At 48.1% G+C, this 23,496-nt stretch overlaps 1 protein-coding gene and 1 long non-coding RNA gene across 14 annotated transcripts, besides 2 other annotated features; one reads left to right on the top strand and one right to left on the bottom strand.

Moving 5' to 3' along the window:
• Positions 1 to 588: 588 nt before the first annotated feature.
• LOC105369774 (uncharacterized) lies at positions 589 to 5,237 on the bottom strand. Of its 7 annotated transcripts, none has more exons than XR_944968.3 (4): positions 4,066 to 4,149; positions 2,874 to 2,906; positions 1,734 to 1,880; positions 589 to 775 (listed from the first exon to the last, which is right to left on the bottom strand). It is a non-coding gene; the product is annotated as an uncharacterized LOC105369774 (long non-coding RNA). The 7 variants fall into 7 exon arrangements; XR_944971.3 differs by having other exon boundaries at positions 4,004 to 4,074; XR_944970.3 differs by lacking the exon at positions 4,066 to 4,149 and adding an exon at positions 3,763 to 4,052.
• Positions 4,212 to 4,271: an enhancer, noted in NCBI's record as "active region_6428". NCBI's record gives its function as "activates an Ori minimal core promoter by ATAC-STARR-seq in GM12878 lymphoblastoid cells {active_cell/tissue: GM12878}" and the evidence as "EXISTENCE:reporter gene assay evidence [ECO:0000049][PMID:35858748]".
• On the top strand, positions 4,364 to 23,299 carry CALCOCO1 (calcium binding and coiled-coil domain 1). 7 transcript variants are annotated; one of them, XM_011538602.2, is made up of 17 exons: positions 4,364 to 4,412; positions 6,057 to 6,126; positions 6,550 to 6,729; positions 7,069 to 7,171; positions 8,033 to 8,223; positions 9,633 to 9,791; positions 10,201 to 10,349; positions 11,987 to 12,077; positions 15,401 to 15,556; positions 15,769 to 16,023; positions 16,491 to 16,616; positions 17,123 to 17,218; positions 17,575 to 17,683; positions 17,916 to 18,115; positions 18,610 to 18,716; positions 18,970 to 19,041; positions 19,695 to 23,299. In XM_011538602.2, exons 3-17 carry the CDS (start codon positions 6,574 to 6,576, stop codon positions 19,870 to 19,872), a joined length of 2,148 nt encoding a protein of 715 aa, XP_011536904.1. In that variant the 5' UTR covers positions 4,364 to 4,412; positions 6,057 to 6,126; positions 6,550 to 6,573; the 3' UTR covers positions 19,873 to 23,299. The 7 variants fall into 7 exon arrangements, 6 of the variants coding, with proteins under 6 accessions (XP_011536904.1, XP_011536906.1, XP_011536905.1 ...); XM_011538604.3 differs by having other exon boundaries at positions 4,364 to 5,572; XM_011538603.3 differs by having other exon boundaries at positions 4,364 to 5,616.
• Positions 5,589 to 6,788: an enhancer, noted in NCBI's record as "CDK7 strongly-dependent group 2 enhancer chr12:54118812-54120011 (GRCh37/hg19 assembly coordinates)". NCBI's record gives its function as "activates an origin of replication core promoter dependent on BRD2, BRD4, P300/CBP, MED14 and CDK7 cofactors, with strong dependence on CDK7, by STARR-seq in HCT116 cells {active_cell/tissue: HCT116}" and the evidence as "EXISTENCE:reporter gene assay evidence [ECO:0000049][PMID:35650434]".
• Positions 23,300 to 23,496: the final 197 nt, after the last annotated feature.

The raw sequence follows: 23,496 nt of genomic DNA, 5'->3' as shown, positions 1-23,496 counted from the left end.
AGCCACCGCGCCCAGCCAGTAAGTTACTCTTAAAGTCTCAGTCTCTTCATCTGTAAAATCTGGATAGCACCTTGCACAGTTATTGTGATGATTCAATGGGTGAAAGAGCACCTCTCACATAGTAGGCACTCAACTAGTGGTAGCTCCTCAAAGCATTCCCAGAGTCCAGGGCCAGCTTCCATTAAACATTTATTATGTGGTGGGCACCGAACTACATGAGGCAATACCAGAATTAGGACTTTTGCAAAAGAGAAAAGAGACAACATTTCAGGGAAATGGATTCACTTTTCAGCAGCTCCTTCCCAAGTTCTACGGAGCCCTTCGACAATCATGGCAGTCATCTCCCTTCCCCAGACGAGTTAAACTATATTCTTAAAAAAAAAACAACAGTCCCCAAATCTCCCACTCTCACTCAGAAATATTCTTTGATCCCAATAACTGTAACTTCCACCTGTCTTCACAGTATTATTCCCCTTTTTCAAAAAATCTTCAGTGACTAACTTCCCATTCCTGATGGGAGTGAAGTCCAAACCTTTGTACATGATGTATTGATGAGGAAAACAGTAGCTACTATAAAAAATAAACCCATTTTAGCAGTGTAACAAAATTGAAATTGATTTATTGGTCAAGTGAAATCTGAAACACATGATCCTGATTAGTGGTCCGCTCTCTGCCACGTGATGATTCAGGGAACCAGCTTCCTTCCATCCTGTGGCTCCACTGTCTTTAACATGTGGCCTTCAGGGTCACTGTGCCTAAGGTCATCTTCATCAAGCTAGACAGGAAAAAAAATAGGAAGGAACTTTTTTGGAGGGTTTTATGGGCCAGACTTGAAAATGGAACACATTAATTAAAGGAGAAGCTTAAAAATGTGGTATAGCTAGGCCGGGCGCGGTGACTCTTGCCTGTAATCCCAGCACTTTGGGAGGCCGAAGCGGGCGGATCACGAGGTCAGGAGATCGAGACCATCCTGGCTAACACGGTGAAACCCCGTCTCTACCAAAAATACAAAAAAATTAGCCAGGTGTGGTGACGGGCACCTGTAGTCTCAGCTACTTGGGAGGCTGAGGCAGGAGAACGGCATGAACCTGGGAGGCGGAGCTTGCAGTGAGCTGAGATGGCGCCACTGCACTCCAGCCTGGGCGACAGAGCAAGACTCCGTCTCAAAAAAATAAAAAAATAAAAAATAAAAATAAAAAAATAAAAAAATGTGGTACAGCTGTGTGTCCAAGAAAAAGAAAGAAACAGGTTCTGATAAACACATAGGCTCTGGCTCACTTGACATTCAAAACTCTCTATACTCTGGCTTAAGTCTGTCTTTCCAATTTTATCTTCCATTATCCAATTATCCAACTGTAGCTTCTTTTTGTTGTTGTTGTTGTTGTTGTTGTTGTTTGTTTTGTTTTTTGAGACAGAGTGTCACTCTGTTGCCCAGGCTGGAGAACAGTGGTACCATTCTGGCTCACTGCAACCTCTGCCTCCTGGGTTCAAGCGATTCTCCTGCCTCAGCCTCCCAAGTAGCCGGGATTACAGGCACGCGCCACCATACCTGGCTAATTTTTGTATTTTTGGTAGAGATGGGGTTTCACCAGTTGGCCAGGCTGGTCTTGAACTCCTGACCTCAAGTGATCCGCCCACCTTGGCCTCCCAAAGTGCTGGGATTACAGGAGCAAGCTACCACGCCTGGCCTCCAACTGTAGCTTTTATTCAGCTTTGCTGCAATCACAACCTACCCCAAAATCTAAGCGACTCACAACAACCAGTGCTGGCTTCTGATTTATGTATATGCAGGTTGTGGGTAAGCAGTAGCTCAGCTCCACAGGTCTTCTCATTCCCAGGCCCAGGCAGAAGGAGCAACTCTCATGTGGATTATTCCCATTCTAGTGGCAGAGAAGAACAAGAAAGTGGAAACTCATGTGTTCAAACATGGCATGAGTCACATCTGTTCACATCCCATCAGCCAAATTATGAAACATGACAAAGCCCAAAGTCAATGACATGAGACATCTATTCCTTCTACAGGAGATACTGCAAGTCACATGGCAGTGGGCAGGAATGAGAGAGGAAATAATTTCAAACAATTAGTCCATCCACTACAACTGCCATTTTCCATCTGGAGTACATGGCAGACATTACTACCCAGCACTCTTTCCTCAGAATCCTCAACACAACATTTCAGGCAGACATTACCAATAATCTGAGTTTGCCTAAATACATAAATAAAGGTTGAAATTGATGTGCTATTATGTGACTCTAGGCTCATTATCCATTCCCACCTCCAAATCTTTGCTTTGGCCTAGAAGAAGCTTACCCTCCCCAGTCCCCATCTTGCCAAACTATCCAAATTTAATCTATCCTTCAAATACTTGAATATTTGAAAGTAATGACTATAATTAAAATAATGAATTACATTTATTATTTTAAAATAATGAATTACATATATTATTTTAAAATAATGAATATTTACTATTCATTCTTTCAATAAAAGTAACTGAATACCTAGCATAGTACCTGCCACATATTTGTTGAATGAATCTGTTTCACATTACTTTGTGCCTTGCACTGAGCACATAAATGCTCAGTGAACATTTGTCTCCTGTTAATGAACCAGCACTGTTCCTTAGAACAATGGGAGTTAGTATCACATGCCAGAGTTTCTGGACTGGGAGTATGGTGACTGCTTGTGCTTAAATCTTGATTCTGCCACTCACTAGCTGGATGACTCCAGGCAAGTCATTAATTGTGCCTCAATCTCATCATGTGTAAAATGGGGATAATAACAAGGCGTATTACATAAGCCTGTTGTATTAAATGGGAAAATTCTTAGCATAGTTTGAACAGATCATAAGCACCCAAGAAATGGAAGTTGTTACCATTTTTAGCTCCGAGACTGTTTTCTCGTAGACCTTTATTTTGGGCGGAAGACAAGAGCCAAGAACTCTTGAGACTTGGGTCCTTGAACAGACCTCACTCTTAACCCACTCCAGACCTTGAGCTACCTCCTCATCCAGAAACTGGTTCCCTAACTCATAAATCCTGACTAATGACACAGACACATCACCTTAATGTTTGTGCAGCCCAGTAACTAATTTTTAAGTGCCTGGAGATCTTCAGATGAAAGACACTGAGGGCAGACACCGCATTCAGTCATAAAAGCAAAACACTACCAAAAAACTTGGAAAAGGCAGAAGCTCCATAACTTAGTGCAGTAGAGAATTAAAGCAGGCACCTAGGAAGAGGAAATCAATCCTTAAGACTGTAATCCTTTAATGCAGAGCCAGAGAAAGAGGTAATTCTGAATGCCTCCGACTACAGGGATGGAGAATAGCGAGAGGGGGGACAGGATGCCCAAGTCTATAACGTGACTTGGGGTGTGGGAGACGTGTCAATCTTTCACCTCTCCTAAATAAAAACCGGAACGTCAACATGTATTGTTATCCTAATTAATTTAAGCCACTTAAAAGGCTTGGGCAAACAGGCCCCATAAGTGGCTTGTTTGTGAATTGTGACAGGTCCTGAATTATGCCAAGCTCCCTTTTCAATTTCATTCTTCTCATTCCACCGCTCCTACCACCACCTCAGTCAATTGTATCCTCTTCCTAGACCCAGAAGCCACTCTGGGGGAGCCCAGTCCAGATGTGGATATGGTCAGGCCCCTTAGCACTGAAATCCTCAAGTTGGAAAAAAATGGTCAGCTGTGCAGAAGACATCATTCTTACAAGGTCTGTCCCTGAGATTGAAGTAAAGAAGAAACTGCTATACCCCAGCTATCAGTTTCCCATCCCCAAAATGGTGGGTAGCTGTGGTGTAGTGGCAAGAATATATGACGTGGAATTAGCCAAGGCTAATGCAGTTCTACATTTCATAGCTTTGACACTTCACACCGCCTCCTTAACCGTACTTCACTTTCTACATCTATAAAGCGTGCATAACGCTTAACGCCTATCTCACAGGTGGGTGCGAAAAGTACAGGACGGGACGCAACAGAAACCGCTCTGCCCACCGTTAAAGCGTTATATGGAAGGCTTTAGAGCCGTAAATCCTCCCCAGCCCCCAACAACGCACGTTACAAACCAGCAGCCACCCCTAATGCAGCCGGCCCCCTCCTAAGGGATCATGGGCCTTGAAGTCCTTTGCTGGCCACACCCTCGTTTTCTGTCATAGGAGTGAGAACTACGCCTCCCAGGATGCCGCGGTGAGGCCGCCGTCACGGACGCCCTCTTCCCCGCCCTCCTTGCGCGCAGCCTTCTGGGATGTATAGTCCTAGATCCGAGCACGCAGCGGCAAAAGGGCGCAGAAGAACCACAAACCCCAGAAGCCCTCGCGCCCACTCTTCTCCCTCCCCTCCAGAAGTCGGAGTGCTGTTTTTGTTGTTGGTGAAAGGTGAGGGGAACAGCTGATCCGTCTGTTGGGTAAGAAACTTGGCCTAATTGGGGGCGATCTTATGGGAGGGGAGGGTCACCCCACTTTCCAGTTTGGGGAAGGATAACGTAAGGGAACTGTCGAAGGGGAATACAGGAGCGTTTGGGTTGTAACCCTTTCCGTACTGGAGAAGCCACCCCCGCTGTTTGGGGAGTTCTTGGTTTCAAGGGGACTCTGATTGGGGGTGGGGGGCGCCCCCTCGTCGTCCTCTCCTTCTTCTCAATGCGTCTCTATAAAGCTGATCCCTTCAAGGGAGCTGAAATCTGCTTATTCGCTCCCAGGCAAGACGTGTCCCCTACACGTCTTCCCTCTCTCCCCTACGCAAATCCAAAGGCCTTTACGACGCTGAATCCCTGGGGAGGAAGGGGGACCTTCCAAGGTGTAGAATGTCAAGGAACTCTAGAGCCCTACAGAGTAGGGGATGGGACACCCGCTCTCCGCCCCATCATGTGAACATCTGAATCAGGCTACACACCTACATCTTAGGTGCCCAAAACTTTCTTTCGGACATGAAGAACGTTTACAGCTGTTACGGATTTTCTTTGTGGGGTGTATTTTAGGGTTCTCCAGGTATATCTTTGGGGACAATTTACCCCCACCCTTAGAAAGCTGGAAGAATTGCATTTGGAGAAAACATGGATTAGTTTCAACCAGGAATTTTTCAGGGAGATGAACATTAAAAAAAACTTTTTGTTCTACCTATTTGGGGGACAGAAGTTGCTCCTTTTTGTGTTGCTGGCTCACCTTTATCCACTGAGTTTCTGTTTTCTTTTAAAGTTCCTGTCCCCTGGACTTCAGCCTGGTGTGGGTTTGTGATGTTTGGGGGCGTGCATATGACTAGTGACAATGGCTGGTTGGACATGTCAGCTGTGAGTGACACAGGAAATAGATTAGTGGGCTGGAAAGGAGTGATGAATAAGAGGGCCATCTCACAGCCCTGGACTGAGGAGTTCTTTTGATCGTTATTATTGTTATCTGTCCTCACCCCACCCTCATATTTTCCAATTAACTCTCCCCAGCTAACTTGGAACACCCCTTCCTCTCAACCCCATCCTGTAGTGTGTCTCCAGCTACCAATACAAACAGATGGAAGGATGGAGGCTGAGGGGAGCAGAGAGAAAATGAGGAGAGAAATACTAAAGTGAAACCAGTAGGTTTCTAGTCCTGCTGCAGGCACAGTCTGGAGAGAAGAATGTTAGGTTCTTTTTGAACTATCTCCCCTTTCCTCAACGTTAAATATACATTTCCACTTCTTGGGGCCCCTTACTTCCCACTTTCTAGTCTGTTCCCTGCCCTGGGGTGGGGCTTTCCTGGCTCCAGGCCCCCACATTCCATCTCCCCACCCCCACCACGTTCCTGCTAAGCGCCTCACTCCACCCTTGAAGTTGCCGCCTCCAGAATTCTTGACTTCCTGGAATAATAAGTCAAGGGACAGAACCTGTCTTTCCTTATATCCTCCCCTTCCCTTTGTCTCTTGGATGCCAGCAGAAGCTTTCTGCTTCCCTAGAATTCATGGGGGTAGGCAGCTCAGAGAGATGAAAAGAGCTGAGAGCTCAGGAGCCTAAGGATTTGGGCTCAGTTCCCCTCGACCCCCAGCCATATTCTAGCTCTGAAAACTCAACCATTCCTTTCAGAGATTAGTTGCTGCTTTCTGATGTCATAACTCATTCCTGGATACAGCTGGGTCAACAAGCTTAGGAGTAGGTAAGGACACCTCTCTCAATGAGAGGGCCCCACACCTCAGTTGGATTTTGTATTCAAGAGCCAGGATGTGTGGGAGATGGGATGGAGAAATGGAGGCTGTCGACCAAGTCGCAGTATCCCAGGCTCTGTCCCCGTCAGTGTCCTTTTGGGAGCAAAATTAGAGAAGTCTGAACCCTCAGAAGGGTCTATGAGCCAGAGCGGGTACAGTGTGAGACAGGATGGGGACGGACTTGGAAGGCCAGACCTACGTCCTAGAGACTAAGAGTGATACCTCAAAAATGTCCCGTAACCCTCAGGGACTAGAAACCAGGTATGCCTTATCTCCAGGTGTAGTGGCAGGGGCTGTGAGTGTGTGGTGCTGGAGCTGTGGGGGGAAGGAGGTGGACTGGAAAGACTTTAGGCTATCAACCCTTTCTTTCATAGGAGGACAGATATCTCAAGGCCAGGATGGAAGAATCACCACTAAGCCGGGCACCATCCCGTGGTGGAGTCAACTTTCTCAATGTAGCCCGGACCTACATCCCCAACACCAAGGTGGAATGTCACTACACCCTTCCCCCAGGCACCATGCCCAGTGCCAGTGACTGGATTGGCATCTTCAAGGTATCTCTGGAACCCCTTTTGGCTTAGGTTTATGGGCTGTGAGTTGGTTGGAATAAGGGGAATGATTGGGCTCTTGGATTCTCAACCTCAGGTTGATAGAGAAGAAGAGAGAAAGATGTCACAGATGACAGAGGCCGCCTGTATAACCAAAGCACATATTTTCTCCATCTTAGCCTTGTTCTTTACTGACACATTAGTGTCCCTCCACTTTCCCTTTCTCTTGTCATTGTTGCCACTGTAGCTCCATCCTGCCCCCCTTATTCAACCCCTCAGCCCTTTCTTCCATCCATAGAAGGTAGTTCCATGACCATACCTTTCTCCAACCTTGGGCTTTCACAGGTGGAGGCTGCCTGTGTTCGGGATTACCACACATTTGTGTGGTCTTCCGTGCCTGAAAGTACAACTGATGGTTCCCCCATTCACACCAGTGTCCAGTTCCAAGGTACAAGGGAAGATGGAAAATTGGGAGAGAGGAGCCAAGGGAGTGGAGGTTTGAAAGAAGGTAGTGGGCTCAGAAACATTAAAAGTTAGGCACAAAGGACAAGGAAAAATAAACGAAAATAAATATAATGAGAATATATCCAACAGCGCTCAGCGGATAGAGAATCACGGGATTATCGCAGAATCAGGGACATAGAAACAGAAGGAACTTCAGAGGGCATCTAGTCCCCTGTCCTACCCAAAGAAGGAAAAATGGGGGAGTAAGGAAGAGGGAAAGGTAGAATTATGTGGTGAGAAGAGGGAAAGACCTGGGTTCAAATCTCACCTCTAACACTTACAAGCTGTTTGGCCTTGGGCAAATTACATAACCTCCCTGTGTCGGTTATCTTAACAGTAAAAGGGGATGCCTGGCTTATAGGGACATTACGAGGATTTAAAATGAAAGCTGCAGGCCAGGCGTGGTGGTGCATGCCTGTAGTCCCAGCTACTCACAAGGCTGAGGCAGGAGAATCTCTTGAACCCGGGAGGCAGAGGTTGCAACAAGCCAAGATCGCGCCACTGCACTCCAGCCTGGGCGATGGAGCAAGACTCTGTCTCAAGATAAAATAAAATAAAAAGTGTTACCACAGTGTCTGGTACATGGTACGCACTCACTACATGGTAACTAGCATTATTATGATTATGATAGAGGGGCAGTGGGTTTGGGAAAGAAAGGAAGGAGAGGGACAGGCAGAAAGGAGGGAGAAGAGTATGGCCTGTGGGAGGTGGAGAAGAGAAGAAACAGTATATGGAACACCGAGCAAGGGGCTGGGGCCAAGGACAGTGGATTATTGGGGTCCTGGGTCCATTCTTCTTCCCACAGCCAGCTACCTGCCCAAACCAGGAGCTCAGCTCTACCAGTTCCGATATGTGAACCGCCAGGGCCAGGTGTGTGGGCAGAGCCCCCCTTTCCAGTTCCGAGAGCCAAGGCCCATGGATGAACTGGTGACCCTGGAGGAGGCTGATGGGGGCTCTGACATCCTGCTGGTTGTCCCCAAGGCAACTGTGTTACAGGTGAGAAAAGAGCAACAGAGTTATTCCCAGACAAGGGAGTGGGAGACAGCATTGCAAGAGGACCCTTCCCACCTTACCCTCCCCTCATCTGTGGCGCCAACTAAAGACCTCGTTGAAAGTTAGACAAAGTCCTGCCTCCAGGAGAGTCTCAGTCTAACATAGACATACACGAACATGTAAGGCAGGAAAGGAGACCACCCACAGGCCAGTGTAACTCAGGATTTCATAAGAACTTTTGCAGCCTTCCTTCTCCATGCACTGCATCCTGCCCTATGCCCTAGAGGAAGATCAAAGGGTGGAGAGAGGCTACTCCAGGGAACATTCAGAGAAAGGGGAGCACAGGACCTGCTTCTAGGACGAGTGGGGAGTGAGAGCAGATAGGCAAGGCCCCAGACCTGTACTGTCCAATACCAAAGGCTCTTAACTATATATGGCTCTTGAGCACTTCAAATGCAATTAATCCAAACTGAGATGTACTATAAGGGTAAAATATACTCCAGATTTTGAAGACTTAGTATTTTTTAAAGAGAATGTAAAAGACTTCAATAATTTTTATTTTGACTACATGTTGAAATGATACTGTTTGGGGTTTTTTTGTTTGTTTTTTGGGTTTTTCTTTTCTTTTCTTTTCTTTTTTTTTTTTTTTTTTGAGACAGCCTTGCTCTGTCACCCAGGAAGATGTTTATATCTCACGTAAGTGAAAGATGTGTGAGCTCCTACTCTCTGTTGCGGTTTCACAATCGTGATTCTCATTTGAGCCTTACAACAATTCAGACTAAGGGATCATGTTACAGATGAGGACACAGAGACTTAGAGAAGTTAAGAAGCTTGTTCAAAATCACATAGCTAGCTGGGTGTAGTGGCATGCATCTGTAGTCCCAGCTACTGGGGGAGACACTGAGGTGGAAGGATGGCTTGAGGCCAGGAGTTTGAGGTATGGTATGCTATGGTTGCACCTATGGCTAGCCACTGCACTCCAGCCTGGGCAACACAGTGAGACCCTATCTTTAAAAAAAATCACATAGCTAGTAAAAATTGCACTGAAGATTTGAACCCAAGTCTGTCCAACTCCAGAGCAGATAGGGTAAAATTAGGGGACCCATCCCTTGTGTCTGTGTTCATTGACTTGTGCCACATGAGGGATTCCTGCAATTGCTGGATGAGGAAAGGGCCAGGCCTAGAGTGGGGAGGGGTAAGAGAGATGGGCAATTCAGAGTGCCATGAGCTGGTGCATCTGACTGGGTGGTGGACGGGATTCGGTAGCACACTGAGCATCCCCTTCCTCACCTCTTTATAACCCAAAGCTATGTAACTTCCCAAACCCAAAATGCACCTGGAGAGTGGTGAGGATGGGACCTTAGAAGGGGTACTCCACCAGCACACTCCCCTTCTCCTTCTGCTGCCTGTAGAACCAGCTCGATGAGAGCCAGCAAGAACGGAATGACCTGATGCAGCTGAAGCTACAGCTGGAGGGACAGGTGACAGAGCTGAGGAGCCGAGTGCAGGAGCTCGAGAGGGCTCTGGCAACTGCCAGGCAGGAGCACACGGAGCTGATGGAACAGTACAAGGTGGGAGCTGGGCCAGGTAGGGGACAGGGCCTGGCTGCTCACCCAGCATCCAAAATCTGAACCCAGTGAAGAGGGTGAAGGAGAGATGTTAGTGGGCTTTTACAATGGTTCTGGCATCAAGGAAATAGGTTTAAGGGGTAGTGGCTGGGATTAAACTTGATGTGACAAGAGACATGTTCCAAACGTGTAATGAGACTCAGTTCTTTGAACATAGGAATGCTGGGGTAAGGTGGAGGTGGCCACGTTGATAGGTAAGGGAATGTTCCCTTACAGTTTCTTTTTCAAGGAAGGCAATGTGATAGCCAGGTGGAAGCAGTCAGACCCTGGTGTGCTCTTCCTAAGCCTTTGTTCCACCACTTGAGAGATGAGTCCCAACCTCCCTTTTCTTCTGGGGGAAACTTAATTTCAGGGGATTTCCCGGTCCCATGGGGAGATCACAGAAGAGAGGGACATCCTGAGCCGGCAACAGGGAGACCATGTGGCACGCATCCTGGAGCTAGAGGATGACATCCAGACCATCAGTGAGAAAGTGCTGACGAAGGAAGTGGAGCTGGACAGGTGAGGGGAGTCCACTGACCCCGTCACTTCCTCTCCCTTCCATGACCCCCGCACTCCAGCCCCCTCTCTCAGGCAAGCAGACCTGCTGTCTGCCTCACACGCTTTCTCTTTCCCTCTCACCCTCACTCAAGCTAGTTACTGGGGATACCCTTTTCTGCCGAGCTCTCTACCATCTTTCCAAATGCTATTCTGTATTCCTCCACTTCAGAAATAATCATAGTTACCACTTATTGTACAGCAAAAGCTGAGCAAGAGCTAGGAGTGGAGGATTTGGAAGAAGAGAATGGATGGAAGTCAGTGCAAGATAAGAGAGGATGGATTTCAGATGTGGCCACAGGAAAGATAAGATTAGACTGTGTTCTTACTATTAAGAAACATTATAACTGGTGATCCAGGAATGTTATGGAATCTCTGCCCTGGAAAAAAAAGATGCAAATCATAAACTCTTAGCACTGGGATTGTAAGATATGTATGAGGGTATGTAAGAGGTCACCCTCAGGAGGCAGCCTCTTTAACATTTGACAGCTGTCATTTTTGTATCTCTTGTATTGAGCCAAACTCTCCTCTCCTATAACTTACCAGGGGGTCCTGAGACCTCTGGAGCCACACAGAATAAATTTCTTTCTTCTTCCAGAAAATTGTTTTCTCTACCAAGTAGCATAAATATTAACCACCACCTCCCATGTCCATCCTTCAAATTTTCACCAGTTTAAACACTCTAGTTCCTTATTTCATTAAATGACAAAATTATGTTTCATTTACTACTGGTAGGTGTGATATTTTAAAAAACTGTTTAAAAGAAAGAGGCATTCTATCCAAGGCCCAAAGTAATAAGTGAGTTCGTCTGAGAGGCTTCTTCAGGATATGTTAGTCTCACCCTAGGGAGATATTAGATGTCTACATTCTAAGTCATAGGTTAGAAAAGCAGTGGTCAGATTGAGCATCTGGAAAAGATTAGGGGCTATCTAGACCAGAGGTCAACAACTATGGCCCACAAGCCAAATCTAGCCTGCCACCTGTTGTATATCCCACAGGTAAGAATAGTTTTTACATCTTTTAATGGTTAAGAACAAATTAAAAGAAGAATATTTTGTGACATGTGAAAGTTGTATGAACTTCAAATCTGTGTTCAAGTTTTATTGAAACATCATGCTCATTCGTTTACATACTGTCAATGGATGGTCCTGCACTACAATGGCAGAGTTGAGTAGTTGCCACAGAGACCACATGGACTGCAAAGCATAAAATCTTTACTATCAGGCCCTTTACAGAAAGAGTCTGCCAACTTCTGGTCTAGATCAAAAGTTTATAATCAATAATGACTGCCCTTGTCTCAAAAAGACTAGATTCTAGTCTCTTGATTGAGTGAAAACAATGGGAGCCATCAGCAAAACATTCCTTAAAATATTACACAAAAAGATAAGAAAAACTATTTCTGTCTAAATTGTTCTCTAGAACCTGGAATCTTGGTTTCCTGGGGCTTAGAACTGGATCAGCTGGCTTGGGGATTTATGCATCCCAGAGTGAAATGGAGCTCTGGGCCTAGAGCAGCAGCAGCAGAGCACAAGACAGAGGCCTGAGTCCATTCCTTCTCTGGGTGGAGCAGATTGTCTGACATGTCATCCCACCAATCACAGGCTTAGAGACACAGTGAAGGCCCTGACTCGGGAACAAGAGAAGCTCCTTGGGCAACTGAAAGAAGTACAAGCAGACAAGGAGCAAAGTGAGGTAAGGGGCTCAGAGTTGATTTGCTTTCTCCATTGTCCAGCCAGTGTTTGATTCCCTCTCGAGAGCCAGACACCAAAGGGAATAAAAATGTAAAGAAGACATTGTGTGCACTCTACTAGGGAACATAAGACATATACCTAAATCAGGATTAGTCAGAGTGGAAAAGTGGAATATAAGAGTGTCACAAGAGAAATTTTTTTTGTTTGTTTTTTGGAGACAGAGTCTTACTTTGTCTCCTGTGCTGAAGTGCAGTGGTACGATCTTAGCTCAGTGCAACCTCTGCCTCCTGGGTTCAAGCAACTCTCACGTCTCAGTTACCTGAGCAGCGGGGATTACAGCCATGTGCCACCATGCCCAGCTAACTTTTGTATTTTTAGTAGAGACAGGGTTTCACCATGTTGGGCAGGCTGGTCTCGAACTCTTGACCTCAAGTGATCCACCCACCTCAGCTTCCCAAATTGCTGGGATTACAGGTGTGAGCCACTGCGCCTGGCCTCAAGAGAAATCTAATAAAGTATTGTGGAGCTCCAGGGAGGTGTATGAGTACACATCTTGTTAGAGACATTAGAAAAGTCTTTTTAAAATGGGTGTGGAGGCCAGGCACAGTGGCTCATGCCTGTAATCCCAGCACTTTGGGAGGCAGAGGCAGGCGGATCCCCTGAGGTCAGTTCAAGACCAGCCTGGCCAACATGGTGAAACCCCATCTCTACTAAAAATACAAAAATTAGCCAGGTGTGGTGTCAGGTGCCTGTAATCCCAGCTACTCAGGAGGCTGAGGCAGGAGAATCACTTGAACCCGGGAGGCAGAAATTGCAGTGAGCCTAGATCACACTACGGCTCTCCAGCCTGGGCAACAGAGTGAGACTCTGTGCCAAAAAAAAAAAAAAAAAAAAAAAAAGGGAGGGCCATGGCTGGGCGTGGTAGCTCACACCTGTGATCATAACACTTTGGGAGGCCAAGGCGAGAGGATTGTTCAAGCCCAGGGGTTCAAAACCAGCCTGGGCAACGTAGTGAGACCCCATCTCTACAAAAAATTTTAAAAATTAGCCAGGCATGGTGGCATGCACCTGTAGTCCCAGCTACTCAGGAAGCTGAGGTGGAAGGATTGCTTGAGCCCAGGAGGTCAAGGCTGCAGTGTGCTGTGATCGCACCCCTGAACTTCAGCCTGGGTGACAGAGCAAGATTCTGTCTCAGAAAAAAAAGGGGTGGGGTGTGGGGCCTAGTACTTTCAAACCTTTTTAGCAGAACCCTTTCCTCTCCTCCCACCAATAAAGTTTTTAATCTTGTGTGGAATCTCACTGAATAAACAAAAACAATGTTTTATTACTATAAATTTATTTTTATAAATTTGAATGTATAACCTTTACTTAAAAGGTAATGAAAGCACTTAGGTAATTTTGAGGCATACCAAACTTTGAAATGAGAGGCTATCGAAGACTGTTCTGCCAGCCTCAGCAACTAATGTATTTCCGTATTTTATTTTGGTTGTACAATATCAAGAACACCTTGAGTCACACACAAGTAGGTGCAAATAACAATTTTTAAACTGTCCACCTTGCAACTCAGTTTACTCTTCAATTCAATAGAAAATACAGTAGAAACTATTCTGAGCTTTGCAAAAAAATGAATTAACCTGGAAACATATGTCAATTGGTGATCTCCAGTGTGTTAACTTGTGATTTTATGGGTTTTATTTGTTTTGTTTGTTTGTTTTGAGACGGAGTTTCATCTTGTTGCCCAGGCTGGAGTGCAGTGGCGCGATCTCGGCTCACTGCAACTTCTGCCTTCCGGGTTCAAGAGATTCTTCTGTCTCAGCCTCCTGAGTAGCTGGGATTACAGGCACCCGCCACCACGCCCAGCTAATTTTTTGTATTTTTAGTAGAGATGGGGTTTCACCATGTTGGCCAGGCTGGTCTGGAACTTCTGACCTCAGGTGATCCGCCCACCTCGGCCTCCCAAATCATGCCGAGATTGCAGGCATGAGCCACTGCACCTGGCCTTGTGTTGTTTTTCTTTTTTTAACATAATTGTTAATAATTTAGAAGACATTCAAATCAAGTATCTGCAGAACTCCTAAATCCCTTCTTCAGTACCCTGGGTTTATGTGGAAGATTGTTAAAAAACCCTTTGCTCAGCAGTGAGAATAGGTAGAATATGAGTAGACAGAGATGAGTGTGAGGCTATTCTAGGAACAGAGAAAGACGTGAGCAAAGGCTTAAAGGCCAGAACACTCAGGGCAGTTGAATGTGCGGGTGAAGTGTTTGAGATAAGGCCTAGGTTAGACTGTGGTGGATCTTGAGCTTCATTTTTATTCCACAAGCGTGAAAGGCTTTGATGATTTTTCAAGCAGGGGTGACGTGTACTGTACTTATGGCCAGGTGTAGTGGCCCACGCCTGTAATCCCAACATTTTGGGAGGTGAAGGCAGGAGGATCCCTCGAGCTCAGGAGTTCAAGACAAGCCTGGGCAACATAGTGAGACCCTGTCTCATCTCTACAAAAAAATACAAAAATTAGGCAGGCGTGGTGGCACACACCTATAATCCCAGCTACTGGGGAGGCTGAGTTGAGACAATTGCTTAAGCCCAGGAGTTGGAGGCTGCAGTGAGCTGTGACCATGCTACTTCACTCCAGTCTTGGCGACAGAGCCAGACCCTATCTCTAAAAAAGAAAATAACTGTATTTAAAGAATCAGAACTGTACCTAAAGAAGAATAATCTGATTCCCTTGTGGAGAATGAACTATTTATGAAGTTATTCAGTAGTCCAAGCAAGAAATGACCAGAGTCTGAGATAACGTGGTTGTGGTGGTAATAGAGAAGGGAAAATGGCTGTGACCAGGATGGAGAAGCAATAGGTTTTTCTGTGGGCCGCTAGGGAGAGGACAGAGCCAAGCATGGCACCAAGGGCACCAGGTTACTCCATCCTGAGTAACGTGGGAGCTAGTTGGTACCCTGGACGGAAATAAGAGTAGGAAAGACTGGGATGGGGTGAGAGGTAGACTGTTGAGTTTAAGGGGCCTGTAGGGCATGAAGACTGAGTTTTGATTTAAGAGAAAGAATAGAGTAGCAGAAATGGTACATGGAATGCCTACACAGAAGACCCAAGGCTGCGATGCTGGATACCTCAATTTGGGAGCTGGAGACTGGATATGCAGGATTGAGTTATTTGAGCTGAGAACCCAAGAAGGGCTGGCAATAGCTGAAGGCTTGAGTGTGTGTTAAATCTGAGAAGTGGAACCTTGACCTCTCTCATCACAATGGTTCACCTCCCGAGCCACCCCAACACACATACCCCTTTCCTTACCTGCTTTCCACTTCCCTCAGGCTGAGCTCCAAGTGGCACAACAGGAGAACCATCACTTAAATTTGGACCTGAAGGAGGCGAAGAGCTGGCAAGAGGAGCAGAGTGCTCAGGCTCAGCGACTGAAAGACAAGGTGGCCCAGATGAAGGACACCCTAGGCCAGGCCCAGCAGCGGGTGGTGAGTGAGGCCCCTTGGCAACAGGAAACGGGAAATTCCAAGGGCAAGTTGTAGAGAAGCCTGCGTGTCTAAAGAGAAGGGGAGAGACATGGCTAAAGACTAAACAACACAACCCCGAGTCCTAATGCAGTGGAGTGGAGGGAGCGTTTACCTCCCTGGCTGATGAATGATTCACTAGGAACTCTGATCTCCATCTCCTCCTTTCTCCTGAGGCCGAGCTGGAGCCCTTGAAGGAGCAGCTTCGAGGGGCCCAGGAGCTTGCAGCCTCAAGCCAGCAGAAAGCCACCCTTCTTGGGGAGGAGTTGGCCAGTGCAGCAGCAGCCAGGGACCGCACCATAGCCGAACTACACCGCAGCCGCCTGGAAGTGGCTGAAGTTAACGGCAGGCTGGCTGAGCTCGGTTTGCACTTGAAGGAAGAAAAATGCCAATGGAGCAAGGAGCGGGCAGGGCTGCTGCAGAGTGTGGAGGTAGAGGGATGGGGGGTACCTGGCAATCTGATGGCCACTGCCCCCACCTCTGTGGGGACTCCTACATGTGGTCAGACCCTCTGGGAGGAGAGAAGAGGGGTTGAGAACCTTAGAGGACTTGGGTGGAGAGGGGCTTTGAGGGAGGTACACTTTACTTTCTAGGCATGACCCATCCCTAACCGGGGTATCCCAATCCTGATCACCAGAGTACCTTCCTTGGAACAGAAACATTTTCTGTCCTAGACCCCAGGCCCTGCCATAATGCCCATTCCTGATCAAGCAGCACCTGCCGTCATGTCCTGTCCTTCATTCAGAGGGTATAGGAAATGAAGGCAAAAAGGGGAAAGTGCTCTAAAAATGATGCTTTAAATAAAGGAAAGGACACAGTAAGGGATGGTGCTGTTGACAGTGGCGTTCCTTTTTCTTCCCCCTCCACCCTCCCATTTTCCTTCTTGGCTATCTCTCAGGCAGAGAAGGACAAGATCCTGAAGCTGAGTGCAGAGATACTTCGATTGGAGAAGGCAGTTCAGGAGGAGAGGACCCAAAACCAAGTGTTCAAGACTGAGCTGGCCCGGGAGAAGGATTCTAGCCTGGTGAGGCATCCAGCCACCAAGGGTCCTGTCCTATGGCCTCCTGAGGCATCCATACCCCTTCTCTCTGTCTTGGGTATGGGCTCAGAAGTGCTAGGTGTCCACTACCATGTTGGGTGGCATTTCACTTGCACACGCAAGCCCTCATTGGTTTGAAATGTGCATTTTTTTCTGCTCTCAGGGCACACATCTGGGCCCAGTAGAGGTGACTTAGGAGAATTATAGAGTGGCCCCTTGGTATGACCAAGGCCTCTGCACCCCAGCCTAGAGGAAGTCATGCAGGTCCCCACTCGAGAGGCAGAGACTAAGACTTAGAAAACTGAGTATCTGTGGCCCAAGACAAAGTACTCATGGAGGAAGTGTTGGGAATTCCTGTGTGTGTGTGTCAGAGCAGGGAAGAAGCAGAGGCATGGGGAGACCTGGTTCTAGATTGTTGGTCCTGGTCCCAGAGTCCAGGTTCTTGGAGGTACATTCTAGGCTCCAGATTCCATTGGGCCCTCTTCCCTCAGGTACAGTTGTCAGAAAGTAAGCGGGAGCTGACAGAGCTGCGGTCAGCCCTGCGTGTGCTCCAGAAGGAAAAGGAGCAGTTACAGGAGGAGAAACAGGTGAGCACCCATAACCCAGGCCCCGTGGATGCCACAGGTGAGGACTTGAGGGCTAGAAACTTTGTAAATTCCTGTCATCTCTTGGCTTAGAAACTGTTCTCTCCAAGAGGGCCCGTACCCTGGCTTCTCTTATTAGCTGATTTGGCAGGACAGCGGATGATCTCTGGGAGAAGGGAGGGATGTAAGTGGTGAAGCAGGGGTGCTGGGGGGAGTGTCTGCCTGAAGTTGCCCCAATCTTTGCTGAAGGCATCTAATGCTGAGGAGCTAAGAGTTCTTCTTGGGTGCAGCTTCTGCAGGCTAGCAAGGTTGGCACCTTCCCATTCTCTAGCACCTGCCTTTTTCCTTCCCAATTCCAGGAATTGCTAGAGTACATGAGAAAGCTAGAGGCCCGCCTGGAGAAGGTGGCAGATGAGAAGTGGAATGAGGATGCCACCACAGAGGATGAGGAGGCCGCTGTGGGGCTGAGTCCGTGTAGCCCCAATCTTGTAACACCTCTTCCCCACTCTACCTCCCGCTGTTGAGGAAGGCTCCATGTAACCTTGCTGGGAGCTGCCTTTGCCTTCTATGTGTTTTGCCTTTTCTTTCCCAGACCCTGGCCCCTGTTTAGTCTAATGATACCCCTCATCCAGAGGAGACAGCTGGTCCAACTCCTCACAACACATCCTTTTTTCTTCTCTGCCTGCTTCATCTCCTACAGGCTGCCCGGCAGCTCTGACAGACTCAGAGGACGAGTCCCCAGAAGACATGAGGCTCCCACCCTATGGCCTTTGTGAGCGTGGAGACCCAGGCTCCTCTCCTGCTGGGCCTCGAGAGGCTTCTCCCCTTGTTGTCATCAGCCAGCCGGCTCCCATTTCTCCTCACCTCTCTGGGCCAGCTGAGGACAGTAGCTCTGACTCGGTGAGCAGTGGAGGAGCCTGTGCAGAAGCAGTAAGGAGGGGCAGGGCCAAACCCAAGTGTCCCAGCCTGGAGTGCAGCACGATCTTGGCTCACTGCAGCCTCTGCCTCCTGGGCTGAAGCGATCCTCCCACCTCAGTCTCCCAAGAGTAGCTGGGACCACAGGCAGGCACCCCCGGCTAATTAGAGAAGGAATCTTAGCTATCCAGGGCTCTCTTTTTCCCAGGGGAGAGGAGGCAGGCCCAGCCTCTCTTCAGTGCCACACCAGTAGATATCATCCCAAAACCCAGACCAGCCCAATAGCCTCACTGCTTCTCCCCCACAGTCATTCTCTTATTATTCACCAGCCCCTCAAAACGCCTCTCCTGCCTCACTCTTCCTAAGCCCCTCAGGTCACTGTCCTAGCCTTGGCTGCTCTTCCCATACCTGTCCCAATGTGCTGCTCCCCCATCTTGGGACACCACCCCAAAGCCCAACCCTGTCTCTTTGGCATCCAGGAGGCTGAAGATGAGAAGTCAGTCCTGATGGCAGCTGTGCAGAGTGGGGGTGAGGAGGCCAACTTACTGCTTCCTGAACTGGGCAGTGCCTTCTATGACATGGCCAGGTGAGTTCAACCAGCAAGGCCAGGAGGGAGGTGGGAGGAGGTCAGAGGGAAAGGGCATCTGTGTGGACAGTCACCAGGCCCTGCTCCCAACCCCTGCCCTTCTTGGCCTCAGCCAAGAAAAGGAGATACAGGTATGGTTAACAAGGAAAATGACTCACTGCTCCAAATCCCAGATGCCTTCAGGTAATCCCTACCCCTATCTTATCAATGCACTCAGAGGTCCTGCCTTTAACTGGCTTCTATGTTGTTCTAGCACCATCTTCTGCAGAGCCCAAATTGCCCTGCTTCCCCTCTCTCCTGCCTCTACCCCTTCCCCAACCACCAGGTAGGTACCTAGGGTCCTCCGGGGAGGAAGGGAGGTGACCATGGCCCCCAGGGATAGGAGCAGAGAGAAGACTGGGATCCAGCATCCATCTGGCTACAACTGAAATGCTTTCCCTCTTCCCTGACTTCCCTGGGTAACCCTTAGGGAAGGGAACCTATAGAGGTGGGGGTTTCAGGTATCAGATTGTCCCCTTCTGCCTTCCCTTTTATTCCCAGGTTCAAGGGGGCAGGCACAGGGAAGAGAGATTTGATCATCTAGTCCCGGTTTTGCCTGGATGTGAGATGGGCTCAGGGCAGGGAGGGGGTGATGCTGTCATCCTTCTCGGCTGGAGCAGGAAGATGAAGGACGATGTCAGACTCATTTTCAGCCTCATTAGGCAGCAGACGGAGATGGAGGGAGGAGAGCAGGAGGCTGGGGGATGGGCTCTGCACTGCAGAGACCAGCAGGGACTAAAGAAGAGAGGACATGGGGAACTGGAAAAATAAGCCTTCCAGGATTGTGGGGAGAAAGACGCTGTGGGAGAGGCCAGGATGCTGCATTAGGCACAGGATAACCTGGGAACCCAGGCACATGGGTCCTGCTCTCCGAAGTCTGCAAGTCAAGAAGGGAACAGAGCACGCCGACCCTCTCCCTTTCCCCTCTGTCTCTCTTAGTGGCTTTACAGTGGGTACCCTGTCAGAAACCAGCACTGGGGGCCCTGCCACCCCCACATGGAAGGAGTGTCCTATCTGTAAGGAGCGCTTTCCTGCTGAGAGTGACAAGGATGCCCTGGAGGACCACATGGATGGACACTTCTTTTTCAGCACCCAGGACCCCTTCACCTTTGAGTGATCTTACTCCCTCGTACATGCACAAATACACACTCATGCACACACACACTCACACACATGCATACACTTAGGTTTCATGCCCATTTTCTATCACACTGGGCTCCATGATATTCTGTTCCCTAAGAACTGCTTCTGTGTGCCCTGTTTTCATCCCAAGATTTCTCACTTCATCCTCTCCTACCTGGCTCTTTTGTCCCAGGGAGGGGTCCTGTTCGGAAGCAGTGGCTGAATTTATCCCCTGAAAGTGGTTTTGGAGGAACCGGGATGGAGGAGGCCTTCCCCTGTGGGAATAGAATCGTCCACTCCTAGCCCTGGTTGCTTCTGATACACAGCCACTGCACACACACACTCACACTCACACTCCCTTGTCTGATGCCCCAAAGCCAATTCCTGGGGCACCCTACCCTCTCTTATTTGGAGTTTCCGTTGGTTTACCTGAGTTTTCTCTGGGGTCTGCACAGAGGCAGCAGCATGGACATCATGGCCTCTCAGGTCCCTTTTGGTTCTCAGTTTCATTGGTTCCTCTTTCTGTTCCCCCATTGACTTCTGTGCCCCACCCTAGCCTTTTCCATAACCTTAGGTATTCAGTTTGGAGGGGTTTTTTGTATTTTTGAGGATTCCTGTATTCTGTATCCTCTCCTCGCATCTCCTCACATGGAAAGAAATAATGTATTTGTGCCTTCTGTGAGGAATGGGGGGAACAAGTGGTCCCAGGTATCCCCATTTCCAAGGCCCCCCTCCCTCTCCAGGTCCCCCCACAGCAATAAAAGCTTCCCCCTGATATCCATCCCTTTGTAGTTTGAACAAATATATTTATATGATATGTATGACTGTTGTCACAAAATGTGTTCTTATCATGAGGTGTGACTGGAACACAGGGCCCAGACCTCCAGCTCTTAGACCCTGGTGGAGGGAGGAGGGAAAGAGGGGACGCATCCCTGCCTCATGGCAGGGGATGCTGGGCAGTTACTGTCCTGTCGTGCCTCCTGGTGTGCTGGCCATGAGTGGGTTGTCTCAAGTGGGAGTCTGGCTTGGATAATGCGGCAGTTGGGGAGGGAGCAAACTCATGGGTCCCTGTCACTTCTGCTCAGGGTTTAGTCCCAGGGTGGGTGCATGCCATGGAAAAGTGGGACAAGTTTCCCACTGCCGAGAACTTCACCCTTCATAGCAGCCATCACTGTACCTTATGCCAAAGGACAGGCTTTATTCCTGTCAAGAGCGTACACCTTTGAGTATCTACTTAGTAAAAAATGCCCTAAGCCTCATACCTCTAAAGGCGATTTTATATTCCTCCTGTTTCTGTTTCTGTTTCTTTCTCTGTTGCCATCCCCTCATACCTGTATGCACACTCTGCCTCAACAGTCACAAAAACACATTCATCCACTCTAACCAGCTTCACAGGCTAGACAGACACATACACAGCATCGTAAAGCATTTGTTAAGGACCTGCACGCTCACCAAGGCTCTCAGCAATGGCCTGCACAAGCACATGCCTACAACCCCCTCGTCCTCCAACCCAATAGCTCCCTTCTCAGCTGCCCTCCTCTCCCTTCAGGGCCCCTGTGTGGACCACCCCCACCATTCCCTTTCTCCATTCACCTGAAATGCTCCTGTCCACCCCCTTTCCAGCCCCACCTGGATGACTTCTTACATCGTTCCTTCTTCCCTCACGTCTCCGTCTCCTAGCAACCCCATCCCGTTCCCTGAATCCCTTCCAAGGAAATTAGAGATAATGGATCTCTCCTCTCTCCATCCCAACCCCTCTTTATTGATCCTCCTTTAATGAAAGTTAATTATAACAATGATTTAATTAATAGAATCCCTCTCTTCCTTTATTGCTTCCCGTATTAAGACTATTAATAAATACGAGCTGGGCTGACAGAGGCATCCATCACCCGCCTGGGATTCCCCCCATCCCTCCTTTTACCTTCCCCCCTCTCCCTCTCCCTCTCTTGGCCTATAAACTTGCCGGGGTAGTGGGGGTTAATCAGAGAGGAATTATGAGCCAACATCCCCAGCAGGAGGTGCATTTAATGAAATCATGTGTGATTTATTTTCTGGGGGAGGTTGGGGCGAGAAGAATCTGGGACCCACACCTCCTGGCTTCCAGTGAGTGGCTGCCTTGTGCAAAAAAGGAGAATAGTAGACAAACAGGAACCCAGGCCCCTGCTCCCATGCCACAGCCCCTGCCAAGCCGCACATACACCCACAGGAGCCACATGGCTAGCTGCACAAGGCCACTGATACAGACACTGTCAGACTAAAAGCACTTAAGAGGACTGCGGTATAGGTTTTGTTCTTTCCAACCTCGAAAACTTCACATGGGTCCTTCTCACCTCCTTCCTTTCTCTCCAGCCCTGTTCTGCTTCACTGTCCCGAATCTGCTTCATACTCCCCTCCTCCATGAAGCCCCCCAACCCCCCACCAGGCTCCTCAACATGGATATCTAGAGTTTCTAGCTGCTCCTTTCTCTGCCCTTTGTGTGTCTTTCTGGCATGCAATTTGCAGTTTCAGACTGGGGGTGCCACAAAATGTGGGGCCATTTCTCTTCCTTACTCATGGTTTGCCTATCCCAGTATCCAAAGCATGGTCCCCGACACAGAGGGGGCTCAAGGAAGGGTAATTGACGGCATGGGCTGGGGGAAACCCAGGGGCAGCCAGCTTCCAATTCTAGTTCTCTTTCCTACTCACTGAGGGGTATTTGGCAACTCAGCCTTTCTACTTATTTCTCTTCTATAATGGATCATCCCTTTCCTCCCTGCTCCCCAGCATCCATGCAAAAGCCGATAGATCTGAATGGGCTTGAGACTCTAATGTGAAAGGAGATGTCAGCCAAGTAGCAGCAAATAGGAACTCGCGTCAGTATTTGGTGGTGAAAGAACGAATCCAAACACACCACTCCCCCACTTATCGAACCTCAATGGCCACCTGTTACCTACAGGAATGAGAAATGTAGATTGCTTAGTGTGCCAGTCAGGGTCTTCACCATCTGTCCCAACTTGCCCTTCCATTTCCCATCTACCCTAAGGAACCCTGTACTCCAGTATAACAGAACCATTCCACAAAAACATACACTACTTTCCTCCTAGCTCAAAGGATACCACCTACATGGAGCCTTACTTGACTGCCCTCAGTTATCCTTTGACATACCACGTAGAGCACTTTATAAAAAGATGCTACATGTGTTTACAACTTTTTATTCTCCCTAAACTGTAAGCAACTTGAAGGCAGATTCTATGCTTATACATCACTGTGTTCCTAAAATCTAGTATAGAGACTGGAACATAGGACCAGTCCTCCAGAAATAATCTTTAAGTTATTTTAATGAAATGTTTTATACATACAAAATAATATATGTAATGAATAATAAAGTGAACATCATTGAGCTCACCAACTAGCTTCAAATAAATATTACCAATACCATTAAATGAAGTGCCATGTGTTGCTTCAAAGAACAAAATATGATGTCATTTGGGATAGAGGTGTTTCTTTTCTTTTTTTTTTTTTTTTTTTGAAACAGTCTCGCTCTGTCGCCCAGCCTGGAGTGCAATGGTGCGATCTCAGCTCACTGCAACCTCCGCCTCCCAGGTTCGAGCGATTCTCCTGCCTCAGCCTCCTGAGTAGC

This window comes from Homo sapiens, chromosome 12 (assembly GCF_000001405.40).
Source record: "Homo sapiens chromosome 12, GRCh38.p14 Primary Assembly".
Lineage (NCBI taxonomy): Eukaryota > Metazoa > Chordata > Mammalia > Primates > Hominidae > Homo > Homo sapiens.
This window is presented reverse-complemented; position numbering and strand designations above follow the sequence as displayed.

What these genes read in the sequence shown, in the direction of transcription:
- CALCOCO1 (XM_011538601.2), top strand. Translation starts at nt 6,574, where the DNA reads ATGGAAGAATCACCACTAAGCCGGGCACCATCCCGTGGTGGAGTCAAC. An exon ending in CCAAGGCAACTGTGTTACAG is followed by an intron (nt 8,224 to 9,632) that starts GTGAGAAAAGAG and finishes TGCTGCCTGTAG; the next exon opens with AACCAGCTCGATGAGAGCCA. An exon ending in GGGAGAAGGATTCTAGCCTG is followed by an intron (nt 16,617 to 17,122) that starts GTGAGGCATCCA and finishes CTCTTCCCTCAG; the next exon opens with GTACAGTTGTCAGAAAGTAA.